At 43.7% G+C, this 17,412-nt stretch overlaps 1 protein-coding gene and 1 pseudogene across 9 annotated transcripts in view; both read left to right on the top strand.

The window, feature by feature from the left end:
- The window catches only part of NMT2 (N-myristoyltransferase 2), a 62,994-nt gene that overhangs the window by 3,074 nt on the left and 42,508 nt on the right, over nt 1–17,412 (top strand). Inside the window, exon 2 of one of the 8 annotated variants that reach the window (XM_024448262.2) lies at nt 5,584–5,787. The exons of the other annotated variants lie outside the window; for them this stretch is intronic. The gene's annotated coding sequence lies outside the window, so the exon portion shown is untranslated. The remainder of the gene's footprint in view (nt 1–5,583; nt 5,788–17,412) is intronic. 8 annotated transcript variants of the gene reach the window in all.
- On the top strand, nt 10,273–10,898 carry PPIAP30 (peptidylprolyl isomerase A pseudogene 30; annotated as a pseudogene). The gene has a single exon (NR_036506.1). The product of NR_036506.1 is annotated as a peptidylprolyl isomerase A pseudogene 30 (transcript).

Below are 17,412 nucleotides of genomic sequence, written 5' to 3'. Positions count from 1 at the left end.
AGGTGTAAGCCAGTGTAAAGAGTTAAATGTACTCTTTAACTTTTTGGTCCACCCAAGCGTGGAAGTGGCAAACCACTATAAAACTTTCATGAATTACAAAAAACATGGGGGAAGAAGGGATTGTCAGTTTTAATTAGTGAGACTATATTCAGACAAGTATAATTTTATTATTTTCAAACAATGTTTGGCAATTAGAACCAGGCTAATAGAGGATTGCCTAAAGACATCTTTATATAACTTACTTTAACACACGATTTGCAATTAGAATTAGGGAGTAGGTCTTTATAAAGAGCTTGAAGGAGCCTGGAAAGACTTTCTACATAGATAAAAATTAACCTCAGTCCAGCTTCCTATATGAATTATTAGAAATAGTCCAGATTACTGAAGATTTCTGTTCTGCTATGGGTGGCAGTGGTACAAAAAGGTGACCTGGAGGATGATTTTTTTTTTTTTTTTGAGATGGAGTTTTGCTCTTGTCACCCAGGCTGGAGTGCAATAGTACGATCTTGGCGCACTGCAACCTCCACCTCCCGGGTTCAAGCAATTCTCCTGCCTCAGCCTCCCAAGTAGCTGGGATTACAGGCGTGCATCACCACGCCCAGCTAATTTTGTATTTTTAATAGAGACAGGATTTTACCGTGTTGGTTAGGCTGGTCTCAAACTCCTGACCTGAGGTGATCCCCACCTCTGCATCCCAAAGTGCTGGGATTACAGGCGTGTGCCACCATACCTGGCTAATTTTGTATTTTTAGTAGAGATGGGGTTTTACCATGTTGGTCAGGCTGGTCTTGAACTCCTGACCTCAGGTGATCCCCTGGCCTCGGCCTCCCAAAGTGCTGGGATTACAGGCCATGGTGCCCGGCCTGGAGGATGAATTTCCTAGGAGCTTTCACCGTTGGATCTGAGGTTAAGATGCTCAAGGATCTTTAATACTTCCCTCATTTTGCTGTGTTTTTGCCTTCTGTTACTTTCTTCTGAAGGGCTTTGGGGACATTGAGGACAGGCCAAATTGTTGAAGAATTATTTAGAACCCACTGTCTTCTCGCTGTCCTTTTGATGTCCGGCTTCTCCAGTTATGAAATACATTTGGTATTGGTCATGATCTCTTACTGAGCTAATGTTATGGTCCATTGTTGGAGACAGAGTCAAATAAAATTCGTGTTGAACTTTGGTAACAAAACCAAATCTGTCCCCTTGCTTAACCAACATTGACTTACAGAGAGCATATACTTCCTAGAAAAATAGATGTTTCTCATAGCTTTCCGTTAAGAGAGCTTTTCCCTCAATATTCACTGGAAGCAGCTACTAAGAAGATTTATATAGGAACCAAAATAAACATAGGTGAGTATGTTTTTGTTGGCAGATACATGACTAAATTAGTCCCTGGGGTAGACATGAAATAGGGTTAAGACCTTTTTTTTTTTTTTTTTTTTTTTTGAGACCAATTCTCGCTCTGTCCCCCAGGCTGAAGTGCAGTGGCGCGATCTCGGCTCACTGCAAGCTCTGCCTCCCAGGTTCACGCCATTCTCTTGCCTCAGCTTCCGGAGTAGCTGGGACTACAGTAGGCGCCCGCCACCACGCCTGGCTAATTTTTTTGTATTTTTAGTAGAGACGGGGTTTCACCATGTTAGCCAGGATGGTCTCCATCTCCTGACCTTGTGATCCGCCCGCCTCGGCCTCCCAAAGTGCTGGGATTACAGGCGTGAGCCACCGTCCCCGGCCTAAGACGTTTTTAAGAGTTCTTTTTCTTAGAAAGATTGAAGATCTGGTATTGGACAAAGATGAAAACTTTGGAATTCTTTTAACAAAGAACATAATCTGTCTTCTACCATCCCCAATTTAGGGGGTAAAAAAAGGAAGTTCTTCTTTGGGCACTATGTTGTTGTATCTGACTTCATATGTCTGTTGTTGAAATTGAGTTGGGAACTTCCCCTTTGTCAGCTGTGTGGTATCAGTGGGAAAATGCAGAAACATTATGACTTGCAATAAGTTTTTCTTATGGAAAATTTAGGGATAACTCAAAGCTGCCCTTTCTGAAATTTGATCTGTTATCAACTGTATAAATCTAAATGGAAAAATAGATTAACGACAGTCTTTGCCTGAGGGACCTCCTCAAATCAAGAACTACTGTTTGAAATGATCAAGTGTCTGCTAAGACTTGCATCTGAATGGGTGATGTCACCCTTTGGCCCAGAACAAATTTTTTCCAGGGTTGTCTAAATATAGGACACATACTTTGCCATCTTTGTTTGTTAGTGCAAATGTACGTTATACATCTATACTAGTTAAAATCACTTTATTTTAACAGAACCAAGTTCTACTCCAAGTTCAAGAAATTGATTGTTGTTTTCTTTGAAAACATGTTAATGACGTTTTAAAAATACGCTTATTCAAAAATCAAACAATAGGGCCAGGTGTGGTGGCTCATGCCTGTCATCCCAGTGCTTTGGGAAGCCAAGGTGGAGGATCGCTTGAGGCCAAGAATTCAAGATCAACCTGGGGAACATAGCAAGACCCTATCTCGATGAAATAAAAAATGAGCTAGACATGGTGGTGCATGCGTATAGTTCCAGCTACTTGGGAGGCTGAGATGGGAGAATTGCTTCAGCCCAGAGAGCTGTGATCGCACTACTGTACTCCAGCCTGGGCAACAGAATGAGACTCTGTCTAAAAATATACATATATATATATCTCTCTCTTATATGTATATATTTATATATATCACATATATAAATATCAAAAGATATCAAATATATAGATATATAAATATCAAATATATAGAGATATATAAATATCAAATACAGATATATAATATCAAATACATAGAGATATATAAATCAAATATATATATAAATAAAATATATATATATATCAAACAATAAGGTATATAAGGTAGAGTGAAAGCCCCTGGTCACCTTATTTCCCAGAGCTGTCACCACTGATAGTTTAATGAACTCACTTTTTAATATGTGTGTGTGTTTAACATCGCTGGGATCTTACTGTACCTGGGTGCATTTGTTACCATGTATGTTTCGCTGACTCTTATTGTTGTGTGCTGGAACTTTCTGGGGTGATAGTAATCCAGTTGGGCAGTCATCAACACATGGAGCACTTGCATGTGACAAGTGTGACTGAGCTGAATGTTTTTATTTTATTTGAATTAATTTAAATTTAAATAGCTCCATGTGACTAGTGGCTATCATACTGGACAGCTCAGATCATATTCAGTCTTTGAATTTTGTTTATAAGCTTTCTTGGTACTCAAAAATTTCTGTATTTTATTTCCTGTCTTTGGTAGAATATGTCTAGTTTTCATTCTTTTTTTCTTCTGTGGATTATCTGTACACTTTTTTTTTTTTTTTTTTTTTGAGACAAGGTCTCACTCTGTCATCTGGGCTGGAGTGCAGTGGCACAATCTCAGCTCACTACAGCCTTGACCTCCTGGACTCAAGTGATCCTCCCACCTCAGCCTCTCAAGTAGCTAGGACTACAGGCACATGCCACCACACCTGGCTAATTTTTGTATTTTTGTAGAGACAGGGTCTCACTATGTTGTCTAGGCTGGTCTCGAACTCCTGAACTCAAGCAGTTCACCCACCTCCGTCTCCCAAAGTGTTGGGACTACAGGCGTGAGCCACCGTGCCCGGCGATCTGTACATTTTGAACAAGTATGTTTTCATCTATATTTCTTTATCCATATCAAAAAATTAACCACTATTTAAAATATTCTACCATCTCACAAGAAAAATCATGTAGGATATTTTGACTTCTTTTCATTTCCTAGGTTTAATTGAAATAACCTGGAATTGTAATTCTTTTATTTTTGCCCTTGTGTCACTAGAGACTTTTTTCTTAACTATTACATGTTTCACATTCCTGTTAACAAAAACATTTTAGACTTTCCTGACAGCTTTATTGTTTTTATGGGTTTCCATCGTTCTTTATAAAACACATCCTCCCGGCCAGGCGTGGTGGCTCGCACCTGTAATCCCAGCACTTTGGGAGGCCGGGGTGGGCGGATCACCTGAGGTCAGGAGTTCGAGACCAGCCTGGACAACATGGTGAAACCCCATCTCTACTAAAAATACAAAAAAACATTAGCCAGGTGTGGTGGCGGGCGTATGTAATCTCAGCTACTCGGGAGGCTGAGGCAGGCAGGAGAATCACTTGAACCCAGGAGGTGGAGGTTGCAGTGAGTCGAGATTGCACCATTGCACTCCAGCCTGGGCGACAGAGCAAGACTCTGTCTCAAAAAAATAAAAGTAAAAAATAAAACACATCCTGTCTTTTTCTTCTTTAACAGCATTCTCACATGATTTTTTTTCTTAGAGTGCGTGGATGATGTATTTTGAGTTCTTGCATGTCTGAAAATGCCATTCTTTTCCCCTCCCACATAATACATAGCCTGGGTGTGCATGTGACTCTATGATAACAATCGTTTTCCTTGAAACTCCATAAACGTTTTAATATCTTCCAGTATTTACTGGTACAGATGTTGTTTTCTTTGTGTTTTTTTTTTTTTTTTTTTTTTTTTTTTTGATTTTTGAGGCAGAGTCTCGCTCTGTCACCCAGGCCAGGCTGGTCTCGAACTCCTGACCTTGACCTCAGGTGATCCACCTGACTCGGTTCCCCAAAGTGCTGGGACTACAGGTGTGAGCCACTGTGCCTGGCCAGATGCTGTTTTCTCTGCTTCTCTGTCTTTTATAGGTAATCTTATTCTTTTTGTCTGTTTTAACTTGTTTTCAGTCTAGAAGCTTCTGGCATTTTTTCCCTGTTGTTCTATTACCAAAGGGTTTCCATGTCCTTTCACATGCTGGGATCGCCTGTCCTTTATTTTTTATTTTTTGCAATGGAGTCTTACTCTGTTGCCCAGGCTGGAGTGCAGTGTCGTCATCTTTGCTCACTGCAACGTCCACCTCCCAGGTTCAAGCGATTCTCCTGCCTCAGCCTCCCAAGTAGGCAGGATTATAGACGCACACTACCATGCCTAGCTAATTTTTGTATTTTTAGTAGAGACGGGGTTTCACCACGTTGGCCGGCTGGTCTCGAACTCCTGACCTCAAGGAATCTCCCCACCTCAGCCTCCCAAAGTGCTGGGATTACAGGTGTGAGCCACTGCACCTGGCACCTTTCCTTTACTATCTAAACAAAATGGCCTGAGCTGATACATGTTCATGGGGGTTTCTTGGGGTCTTAAGTTTTCATGGTCCTCAGGCACACCCACACTGCAGCCAACTTGCCCCATCACCGGGCTCCTTGTGCCTGTGTGTCCTTAGGGTGCTCTTTTTCTTCAACATTTGACCTTGGGTGGAACACGGTTATCTTCAGTTCTGTGTCTCTCACCACCCTCCTCCCAGGAATCACTAAAATCCAGCTATTGTGCACAGCATTTGCTGAAGCGTTTGTGGCTAATGGGGAGGGAGGGAGGTCTGATTACAGAGTAGCGCAGAAAACAACTTTGAATTCAGTGTCAGACATCATTGTTCACCAAGAGGAATTTGTTACTGCTCACGCCTTTCTGTGGGTCATGGCTTCCTCTGCTTCTGAGAGTGTCTCCTGATCTTTCTTCTCCTCTTCTCTAAGTTCAAGGTCAGCCCAAATGTCCTTTCTTTCATGAAGCCTTCCGCAGCCACTATGACCAAAGGCGCTGACCCCTGCCGGAAGCCCTGTAGCTCTTAGTGAGTGTATCTTTCCCGTGACATCTTTCCCAGTTGCTCTCACCTCATCTCCCCAGCCCTCTGCTCGGGAAGACCCTCATTCTCCTGCCCCAAGCTGTGGCTCCTAGAGGTGAGTTCCTTGTCCACAATCACAAATGGGAGATGTGGGTCTTTGCGTCTGTTGCTTAATGTGTGTGTAGCATCTACCAACCAGCTAGAGTAAAAGGTTTTATTTTGCTGGGCGCAGTGGCTCACGCCTGTAATCCCAGCACTTTGGGAGGCCGAGGCGGGTGGATCACCTGAGGTCAGTAGTTCGAGAGCAGCCTGGGCTACATGGTGAAACCCCATCTCTACTGAAAATACAAAAATCAGTCTGGCACGATGGCGGGCACCTGTAATCCCAGCTAATCGGGAGGCTGAGGCAGAATTGCTTGAACCCGAGAGATGGAGATCACTTTATAAGCACATACTGCAGTGAGCCGAGATTGTGCCACTGTACTCCAGTGAGCCTGGGCGACAGTGAGACTCTGTCTCAATAAATAAATAAATAAATAAATAAATAAATATTTTAAGGAGGTTTTATTTAAATATACAATAGGTTATCTGAAAATAAAGTATGGCTGGACTTTATTAGAATTAAACATTATAGAAAGTCAAGTACCCAAGGTCCATCTGTCTTTCTAACCTCTCTCCCTTTCTGTCTCAGTCTCTGTCAACTAGACTGCCCCAAGCATCTGTTCCTTAGTTCAGATTCTCCAGAAAGGATCTCACTGGTTTCTGGCCAAGAAAGGGATTATCCAGGCATGATCCAGTCCACTGTGATGGAGAAGGGAAAGGGAGGGGTAGAAGAGAATTGTGTGGTACAACATGGCCACTGAGGGCCACACCTTTGGTGAGACCTGTGGGCAAAGGGAGTTTTCAGGGAAGGACATAGTGAACAATGCTGGCACCTTGCTGGGACTGAATTGTATCTCCCTGCCAATTCATATGTTGAAGCCTAAATCCCCAACGTGATGGTGTCTGGAGGTGGCACCTTTGGGGGGTAAATAGCTTACAAGGGTGGAGTCCCCATGAATCGGATCAGTGTATGCTTATAAAGAGATAGAGTCCAGTGCTTTGTTGCTCTGCCAAGAATAAGGCCCTCACCAAAAACCTGACCCTGCTGGCACCCTGATCTTGGTGGACTTCCAGCCTCCAGAACTGTAAGAAATAAATGTCTTTTCTTTAAGTAATCAGTCTATCGTATTCTGTAATAGCAGGCTGAACTAAGACACACCTCAAAACATGTTTGCAGAACACAGCGTGTCTGCCTGTCTACTCACAGGTAGATTGTGTGCATGGAGACAGCACTTTCAGTCTCCAATCCTTGCAATACCTGGTACCTTGCATGTGTTTGTAACTTACTAAAGATTTGCAGAATGGATTCCAATAGCTCTTAATTCCCATTGACAAATTTATTTCAAATTGTCTTTATTTTATATGCATTAAGAATATGTGAAGGCTTTTCTTTTTCTACTTCTCATTGAGAGGACTTTGGCTGTAGAGTTTTTAGTTTTGGTCTGCTATATAGGGCCCAACATTTTTAAATGGTAACTAATTTTTTGACCTCTTGGCATATGCTTATGTATTTTTCTTTTTTTTTTTTTTGAGACAGAGTATCTCTCTGTTACCCAGGCTGGAGTGCAGTGGCGTGATCTTGGCTCACTGCAACCTCCACCTCCTGGGTTCAGGAGATTCTCCTGCCTCAGCCTCCCAAGTAGCTGGGATTACAGGCGCCTGCCACCATGCCCGGCTAATTTTTGTATTTTTAGTAGAAATGGATTTTTGCCATGTTGGCCAGGATGGTCTTGAACTCCTGACCTCAAGTGATCCGCCCTCCTTTGGCCTCCCAAAGTGCTGGGTCTACAAGCGTGAGCCACCGTGCCCAGCCTTATATATTTTCCCTGGTTGACTCATTACAATAACAAATGAAGAGATTGTGGCTTATCAGTTTTAATAAGTTATCCAGGCCATAACTCAAATTCAAACTTAGCTTTTAAGTCTATCTGACTGTAAATCTGTTGCTTTTCACTAAACTACAGTCTCTTGGACTCTCAATAAGAGTAATTTGATAATGTCTCAAGGTCTTTTTCTTTATAAGTCATAGATTGATTACCAACCTGAACACCTTTGGAGCCAAAATTCACCAGTGTAATGGGTCAATGAATTAATTTTTTTAAAATCATACATTTCTTTGCTTAAAGAATATTGCAAATCAATAATTAGGAACTCTTTTGTCTCTAGTTCCTTAAAGGACTCCTTTTATTTTATAGCATCAGTGTACTTAGTAACAAGTTTTTTTCTTTTTTGCTTCTTTCATGGCTTAATCATCTCTTTTCTGACTGCCTTACCTGTAGCCTTGTACATATCAGCACCCCTTTCTCTGGAGCCTCTGCCCCCTGCCCCCAGCATCACCATCATTCAGAGTTCCACGAAGCCAGGTTCCTGTGAGAAGTGACATGGCCCACGGAATCTGGTTTTTCATCTCCTGGGTGAAAGCGCTGCCGGGAGGTACCCACTTCAGCCCTCTTGTACCCCATTGCTGCAGCCTATGCCCAGTCTGCCCTGGATGGTGGCTCTTTGTGGATGCTTTGAGTAAGTTAGTGGCCTGTCATGCTTTCCCAGCCTTAGGAGAAAACCTGGTTGGAGTCGAGGACTGAATTTGGATGTCACCTTTACAGTTTCTGTTTTGTTTAGTGCGCTTCTGTTCCTGGCTTAAACTCACAGTGCCCCGGGGAAATAGGGACTTCTTTATTTCCGTAGCTGTGTTCTCTCAGTGTTCCAGCTCATATAGTACCTTCCCAGAGAAGGTTGGGGATTCAGTTAACATAAGAAATTCCCATAGTTTTTTCCTTTAGTGTTTCTTTTTTTGGGAGGGCAGGGGGATAGTTGTTCTTCACTACTTTAGGGGTATTTATTAACATTTTAAGAAAACTGAAGAAAGAACCAGTGAAAGCAGAGTGCTTATTTTGGTTTCCAAATGAAGTTTTTAAAAAGTTCTTTTTGCGAAACCTTTTTTTTTTTTGTTGAGACAGAGTCTAGCTCTGTCGCTCAGGCTGGAGTGCAGTGGCGCAATCTCGGCTCACTGCAACCTCCGCCTCCCGGGTTCACGCAATTCTCCTGCCTCAGCCTCCTGAGTAGCTGGGATTACAGGCATGTGCCACCACGTATGGCTAATTTTTGTATTTTTAGTAGAATGGGGTTTCACCATGTTGGTCAGGCTGGTCTCAAACTCCTGACCTTGTGATCCTCCCGCCTCGACCTCCCAAAGTGCTTAGATTACAGGCGTGAGCCACCGCGCCTGGCCTGAAACCACATTTTTAATGTAGAACATTCGAATGAATCACTAAGCAAAAACGCCATGCCTTGGTATATTCATATATACATTTTCCTATTTATAAATATTTACAAAAATGCAAATATGGTAGCCTCCGCCCCGTATTAGTCCGTTCTCATGCTGCTATAAGGATGTACGTTAGACCGGGTAATTTTTAAAGGAAGAGGTTTAATTGACTCACAGTTCTGCATAGTTGGAGAAGCCTTAGGAAACTTACACTCATGGCAGAAGGGGAAGCAAACACATCCTTCTTCACAGGGTGGCAGGAGAGAGAAGAATGAGAGTGAGGGGGGTGAAAGCCCTTTATAAAATCGTCAGATTTCATGAGAACTCATTCCCTGTCATGAGTACAGCATGAGGGTAACCGCCCCCATGATTCAGTTACTTCCCTCCAGGTCCCTCCCATAACACATGGGGATTATGGGAACTACAGTTCAATATGAGATTTGGATGGGGACACACCCAAACCACATCACCGCCTTATCTGTGATTTTGCTTTCTGCAGTTTCAGTTACCCTTGGTCAACGTTGGTTCAAAAATATTCAATGGAAAATTCCAGAAACAATTCCTAAGTTCTAAATTTCATGCCCTTCCAAGTAGCATGATGAAATCTGGGGCCATCCCACCCTGTCCCGCCCTGGATGCGACTTTTCTCTTTGCCAGCGTCCCCGCCTGCAGGTCACTTAGTAGCCATCTCTGTGATCAAATTCACTGTCTTGGAATCACAGTGCTTGTGGTCAAGTGACCCTTACTTTACTTCCATGGCCCTAAAGCACAAGAGGAGTGGCACTGGCAATTTGGATACACCATAGAGAAGCCATAAAGTGCTTTCTTAAGTGAAAAGGTGAAAGTTCTCAATAAGAAAAGAAGATCACATACTGTGGTTGTAAGAAGGAATCCTTGGGGCCAGGTGCAGTGGCTCATGTCTATAATCCCACCACTTTGGGAGGCCAAGGTGGGAGGATCACTTGAGCCCAGGAGTTCGAGATCAGTCTGGGTAATATAGCAAGATCCTGCCTCTACAAAAAAAAAAAAAAAAAAAAAAAAAAAACTAGCCCGGCATAGTGGCATACACCTGTACTCCTAGCTACTCAGGAGGCTGAGGCGGGAGGATCACTTGAGCCCGGAAGTTCAAGGCTGCAGTGAGCTATGATTGCATCACTGCACTTCAGCCTGGATGACAGAGTGAGACCCAATCTCTTAAAAAAACACAACAAAAAAGGCTTTGCAGACGCCACCGCCACCAGGAGCCCTGTACTACCAGCCATGGTCAACCCCACCATGTTCTTCAACATCGCCATCAACAGCGAGGCCTTGGGGCACGTCTCCTTCGAACTGTTTGCAGACAAGTTTCCAAAGACAGAAAACTTTCGTGCTCTGAGCACTGGAGAGAAAGGATTTGGTTATAAGGGTTCCTGCTTTCACAGAATTATTCTAGGGCTTTTGTGTCAGGGTGGTGACTTTACATGCCATAATGGCACTGGTGGCAAGTCTGTCTACAGGGAGAAATTTGATGATGAGAACTTCATTCTGAAGCATACAGGTCCTGGCATCTTGTCCATGAAGCATACAGGTCCTGGCATCTTGTCCATGGCAAATGCTGGACCCAACACAAACGATTCCCAGATTTTCATCTGCACTGCCAAGACCGAGTGGTTGGATGGCAAGCATGTGGTCTCTGGCAGGGTGAAAGAAGGCATCAAGATTGTGGAGGCCATGAAGCGCTATGGGTCCAAGAATGGCAAGAGCAGGAAGAAGATCACCACTGCTGACTGTGGACAACTCTAATAAGTTTGACTTGTGTTTTATCTTAACCACCAGACCATTCCTTTTGTAGCTCAGAAGAACACCCTCCACCCCATTTGCTCGCAGTATCCTAGAATCTTTGTGCTCTCACTGCATTTCCCTTTGGGTTCCATGTTTTCCTTGCCCCCTTCCATGCCTAGCTGGATTGCAGAGTTAAGTTTATGACTATGAAATAAAAACTAACAAAAAATAATAATAATCTACCCATAAAATTGTGAAAAAGGAAAAATACCTTTGTGCATAGGCTATGAAGTTTAGGAGTGGGTACTAGCCATGGTTTTAGGCATCTCCTGGGAGACTTGGAACGCCTTCTTGAGGATAAGGGGCACCTACTGTATACTGTTTGTATTCATCTGTTGTCATTTGAAAGGAACTGAATGTCTTTCCAGGTCACCACACAGCCTGCACCTGAGTCAGGTCAATTGGCTGGCCATCCCGTCATGTGGTTCTACACAGGGTACCATTATTTATTTAGTCCCCTATTGCTGGACCCTCATGGCCAAGGCTGCCAGTGGGCCCCTTCTTCCACAGTGACAGTTTGTTCTGGGCACCTGGAGGGCCCCACTCATCCCTCCTGCTGGCTGGGATATGTGTACCAGTGGTAGGAAGTCATCCCACAGCACCTGCACCAAGCCAGCATCCTGGGGGCAGGGGAGACAGGACAGAGGGAGCCAGCCCTGCTGTCATTTTAGGGCACAAATTCCCCACTGAGGGATGCAGAGACCTTTTCACGAAAGATAAATGTGCTTGTGTTGTGAGCGGCTGTTATTTTGGGACTGGAGCCCACGCAGCTCAACCTGTATACTAACTAATAAAACGTCTGTGTGTAAGCCAGGTGCGGCGGCTCACGCCTGTAATCCCAGCACTTTGGGGGGCGAGGCGGGTGGATCACGAGATCAGGAGATCGAGACCATCCTGGCTAACACAGTGAAACCCCGTCTCTACTAAAAATACAAAAAAAAAATTAGCCGGGCGTGGTGGCGGGCACCTGTAGTCCCAGCTACTCAGGAGGCTGAGGCAGGAGAATGGTGTGAACCTGGGAGGCGGAGCTTGCAGTGAGCCGAGATTGGCCACTGCACTCCAGCCTGGGCGACAGAACGAGACTCTGTCTCAAAAAAAAAATAAAATAAAATAAAATAAAACAAAACATCTGTGTGTAGCTTTGGCCTTAGAGACATTTTCGTGTTTTCATTATGTTACTTTTTGAATAAGTAGTGTGACGTATTCAGAGGTCAGCTGTGTGGTACAAAATTCAAAAGCCATCAATGGGAGGCAACGAAGTTAAGTCTCATTCTCCCTGCGCTGAACTTCTCCCCCATAGGCAGCTCCTGTTGTGGACTCTTGGTGTGTCCTTCCAGTGGTGGCAAGGATGGGAGCATGTGCACATGTGTGCCTCTGCAGGCCTTCAACACAAATGGCAGCATGCCTCTTGATTTTTCACTAACAGCATATCCTGGAGGTCTTTATATATCAAAATACGTAGATCAACCTCCTTTTAGTTTTATTGTATTTTTTTAGAGATGGCGGAGGGGAGGTCTCACTGTGTTACCCAGGCTGGCCTGGAACTCCTGACTTCAAGTGATCCTCTGGAGTTGCTGGGATTACAGGCGTGAGCCACCATGTTCAGCTCCAACCTCCTTTTTAAAAAGGCGGTGTGTGGGTCCTTTCCACTCAGAGACTCCTCTCTCTATATATAGAGAGAGCTGTTTCTCTTTCCCTTCTCTTCTATTAAACCTCCATTCCATAAAAAAAAGGGGGGCTGCTGTATATTGTAGCATTGAATGGATACACCATTACCTCTTCAATCCATCCCCTATTAGTAGACAGTAAGGTAGTTTTAAGTCTTTTGTGCTAGTACACAGGGCTGAAGTTAATATCCTTGTACATGTATCACCTCTCCAGACTATTTCCTGATGAATATTTAAAAATCTTTCTCAGTTAAGTTTTAGGAAGGCAGTGTGGTGTGTTGAGATGAGTTTTAAACCAGGAACCAAGAAGCTTCCTTCACTAACCCTCCCTTGGACTTTGGAAGTCAGTTAACCCCTCTGGGGATGAGTGTCTTTATTGGTAAATGAAAAAAACTGCTTAAAAGGAGCCATTTGTCTTTAAAACTCATGATTTGACAAGTACATACTTTGTCCTGGGCCTGGCCCCATCCTCAGGGATAACAGAAGGCTGGGGAAGGTTCTGAGAGGGAATAGCTCTGAGAAAACCACAGACTTTATGTATCAGGGACTCATCAGACCCCAGGGTTCTTCTTGAGTTCACTTTTTGCTGTCACTTCCTAAGGAAAAGGGGAAAAGATACGTTTTGGCAAAGGAGAGACCCCAGTCCTGCTTGTCCCAGCTTTAAGCCATCCCTTCTAGACACTGCCACTTGCTCCTTGTCTTGTAGACAACTTCTCAGAGCTCTGTGGTATTTCTCTGCTTTTAAAAAATTTATTTGTTTCTTTCCTCTACCATCCCAGAGTGGACCATGACCTCTGGCTCCCTTTTGAATCTGGGAGGTGCATTTCCTTTTGTGTTTGAGGACTCCACGTTCACCTTTGTGCTTCCTGGTGAAAAGCGCCATTTGTACAGCCTCACCAACTTGTCTTTGACCTTTGACTTTGCTCATAGAAATTGTTTTCTCCGTCTCTCATCTCTGGCCTTTGCCCTTGGACACATATCACAGGCTCATATCACAGCCTTGGATCAAGCTATCTCATTTCTACGTTTGAGTATTACAACTTCTGTTTTGTTTTGTTTTTGTTTTTGAGACAGAGTTTTACTCTGTCACCCAGGCTGGAGTGCAGTGGCACGATCTTGGCTCACTGCAACCTCTGCCTCCCAGGTTCAAGTAGTTCTCCTGCCTCAGCCTCCCGAGTAGCTGGGATTACAGGCGCGTGCCACCACACCCAGCTAGTTTTTTATATTTTTGGTAGAGACGGGGTTTCACCATGTTGGCCAGGCTGGTCTTGAACTCCTGACCTTAGGTGATCCACCTGCCTCAGCCTCCCAAAGTGCTGGGATTACCGGCATGAGCCACCACACCCAGCCAACTTTTTTTCTCTTTTTAAAACTGTCTAGAACTCAGCTCTTCTGAGCCACCAGCTCCCTCGAGGCTCATAAGCCACGGATCTGTCCCTGTTTGTCTGTCAAATGGCTGAACAATTTGAATTTCATCTTCAATTGTATATAATGATCTTAAAGATATGTAAATAACAAATTTTTAAAGCATTTAAAATATTTCTTCCTATATTCCGACCTTGCACTGTCTACAAAGCCAGGTCTTACTTCACAAACTAAACTTCATGTGAGACGTGTTTCTGGCCAATGAGTGTTATATGAAAGTTTATTATAGTTTAACATTATCTCTTATCAGAATTGGGCTTTTGTGTGATGTAGACACCAAAATTGTTTGATAATTATGAAAGGAGGAGGCTGGCCAGGCACTGTGGCTCACACCTACAATCCTAGCACTTTTGGGGGCCGAGGCGGGCAGATGACCTGAGGTCGGGAGTTCAAGACCAGCCTGACCAACATGGAGAAACCCCGTCTCTACTAAAAATACAAAATTAGCCAGCATGGTGGCGCATGCCTGTAATCCCAGCTACTTGGGAGGCTGAGGCAGGAGAATTGCCTGAACCCAGGAGGCGGAGATTGCAGTGATCCGAGATTGCACCATTGCACTCCAGCCTGGGCAGCAAGAGTGAAACTCCGTCTCCAAAAAAAAAAAAAAAGGAGGAAGCTAATGAGATAGAATATACATTCCCACATTTCAAATATGGTACAGGTTTAGGAGAACCAAAAACTTGGAGCAACCCAATATGTAAGAAGAGGGACTAGTTAGTAAACTAGACCAGAAGCTAGCGAAGAGGGACTAGTTAACAAACTGGACTAGAAGCTAGCAAGGGGGATCATCAAGATTCCTCTCTTCCAGCCACGCTTGTATTGATTCCCGGGCGTATTGTTCAGCCATTGTCTAGAGCTAGGCATCCTCTGCTGCTAACAGCCGTGTAAATATTTAAATTATTGGCTAGTCTCAGTCACCTTTGTCCAAAGCTGTAGCCTCAATAGCTGTAGCCACCTGCCTGCTTGATGGATCTTTGATGATGATCTTTGTCCCTCACTGGCCATACACTTTTGGGACGGCTCTGAGCTCTGAGCCTTCTAGGGCTTGTCCATGACTTACTGCTTTGCACAGAGACGATGTTGCTTTGTAGATACTTCCTACACCAATCCCAAGAGGAGAAGGGGCACACTAAGTATGGGTTGAAGCTACCAGACCCATGATGGAGCTGAAATCCTACTTTAGATGAGGCCGTAGTGCAGCCAGATGATGACAGCTAGAAGGGTGTCTTCCTGCTCTGGACTCTGCATTACACTTGGGAAAAAAAGAGTGAAGAAACTCATACTGGAATTACACAAATGAACCACTGACAAAAACTCATTTGTGTGACTTCTTCAAACCCTGAACTGCAGGTGAAATCCATTATCGAATTTGATGGTCACATGATCAACTTAGGTAAGATGGGTGCCCCTGATCCAGGATGAGGACCAACTTTGGCCAGTACACCCTGATAACCTGAGTTAACCTTAGCTAACTTCCCCAACGGTGGGTGTGAATTCTCTTCCAGCAGCAGGTAGTGTGATGAACCTCTGGGTTACCTTTGTTTTTTATCAACTGTACCAAAACCTCATATTTTTTTCCTAGTAGTGTTATTCCTTCTAGTGAAGTGTTTTGGGATTCCAACCAGAACACCAGGGCATGTGCACACACGTAGCACAAAGATCTATTACAATTCCATAAAATAGGTGAATAAAAAATGTCCAAAGATCGCAATTAGGCAGTTTACAAAAGACCTAAAAATTGCTGGTAATTATCTGAAAAGATGGTCAACCCAAGGAAGTACATAAATGAGAGACAACGTAGGGTAGTAATTATGTGGATTTTGGAGCCAGGCTGTCTGGATTCAAGTCCTGATTCTGCCATTATTAACCATGTGACCTTCAGCAAATTACTTAAGCTCTCTCTATTTCAGTTTCCTCATCTATAAAACGGGAATAATAATAATAATAATAGCACTTACCTCCGAGTGTGACAGTTTACAAAGTTGATATCTGTAGGGTGCTTGGTACAGTGCCTGACACATAGTAAGTGTTGCGAAGTGTTGCCTGCTGTGGTGATGATTATGATGGTGATGGTGATGATGGTGGTGATGATGGTGGTGATGATGTTGGTGATGATGGTGGTGATGGTGGTGATGATGGTGATGATGGTGGTGATAATGATGGTGGTGATGATGGTGATGATGATGGTGGTGATGATGGTGATGATGATGGTGATGATGGCGGTGGTGATGATGGTGATGGTGATGATGGTGGCAGTGATGGTGGTGATGGCAATGGTAGTGGCAATGGTGGTGATGATGGTGATGATAATGGTGATGATGGTGGTGATGATGATGTGATGGTGGTGATGATGGTGATGGTGATGATGGTGGCAGTGATGGTGGTGATGGCAATGGTAGTGGCGATGGTGATGGTGATGATGACAGTGGCAATGATGGTAGTAATGATATGATGGTGATGATGGTGGTGATGATGGTGGCAGTGGTGGTGGTGATGGCGGCAGTGATGGTGGTGATGGCGATCAATGGTAGTGGCGATGGTGGTGATGATGATAATGGTGACGATGTTAGTAATGATATGGTGATGGTGATGATGGTGGTGGTGGTGGCGGTGGTGGTGGCAGCAGCAATGCCAGACTGCTTTACAAAGTGGTTGTTTCAGTTTACATTTTACCAACAGCATGTGAGTGTTCCCTTTCCTCACGTTCTTCTGATATTCTTAGATTTTAAAATGTTTGCCAAATCAATGGGTGAAATTGAGCATGTTTTCTTAAGCTTATTGGTTGTTAAGTCTGCCTCTTTTGTCAAGTGCTTATTCATATTGTCAGCCCATTCTTCTGTCAGTCTTCTTTTTCTTAATTTTTTTTTATTGATTTCTCATTCATCTAGCAAATATTGAGGATCTTTTATATGTCAGACACTATTTTCGGTGCTAGGAATACAATAGAAAACACTGTTTTATGGATCTTATGTTCTAGTTAGAGAGAGACAATACTGTTCCAGCTAGCAATAAATTATATTTAAAAACTAAAGCAGTACAATCATAATAATAGCTGGCTTGTACCGAATGATTTCTGTGTGCCAGCTACTATACTAAATTCTTAGATGTATGAATTCATTTTATCCTCACATTTTTTCTAATACTATTTATTTATTTGAGACAGGGTCTCACTCTGTTGCCCAGGCTGACTGTAGTGGCACGATCACGGCTCACTGCAGCCTCAAACTCCTGGACTCAAGTGATCCTCCCACCTCAGCTTCCTGAGTAGCTGGGACCAGAGGCACACACACACCAACTTGCCCAGCTAATTTTTTATTTTTTGTAAAGACTAGGTTTTGGTATGTTGCTCAGGCTGGTCTCGAACTCCTGGACTCAAGCAGCCCTCCTGCCTTGTCCTCCGTCCCAAAGTGCTGGGATTACAGACATGAGCCACCACACCTGGCCTAATACTGTTTTTTGA

This window comes from Homo sapiens, chromosome 10 (assembly GCF_000001405.40).
Source record: "Homo sapiens chromosome 10, GRCh38.p14 Primary Assembly".
NCBI lineage: Eukaryota > Metazoa > Chordata > Mammalia > Primates > Hominidae > Homo > Homo sapiens.
This window is presented reverse-complemented; position numbering and strand designations above follow the sequence as displayed.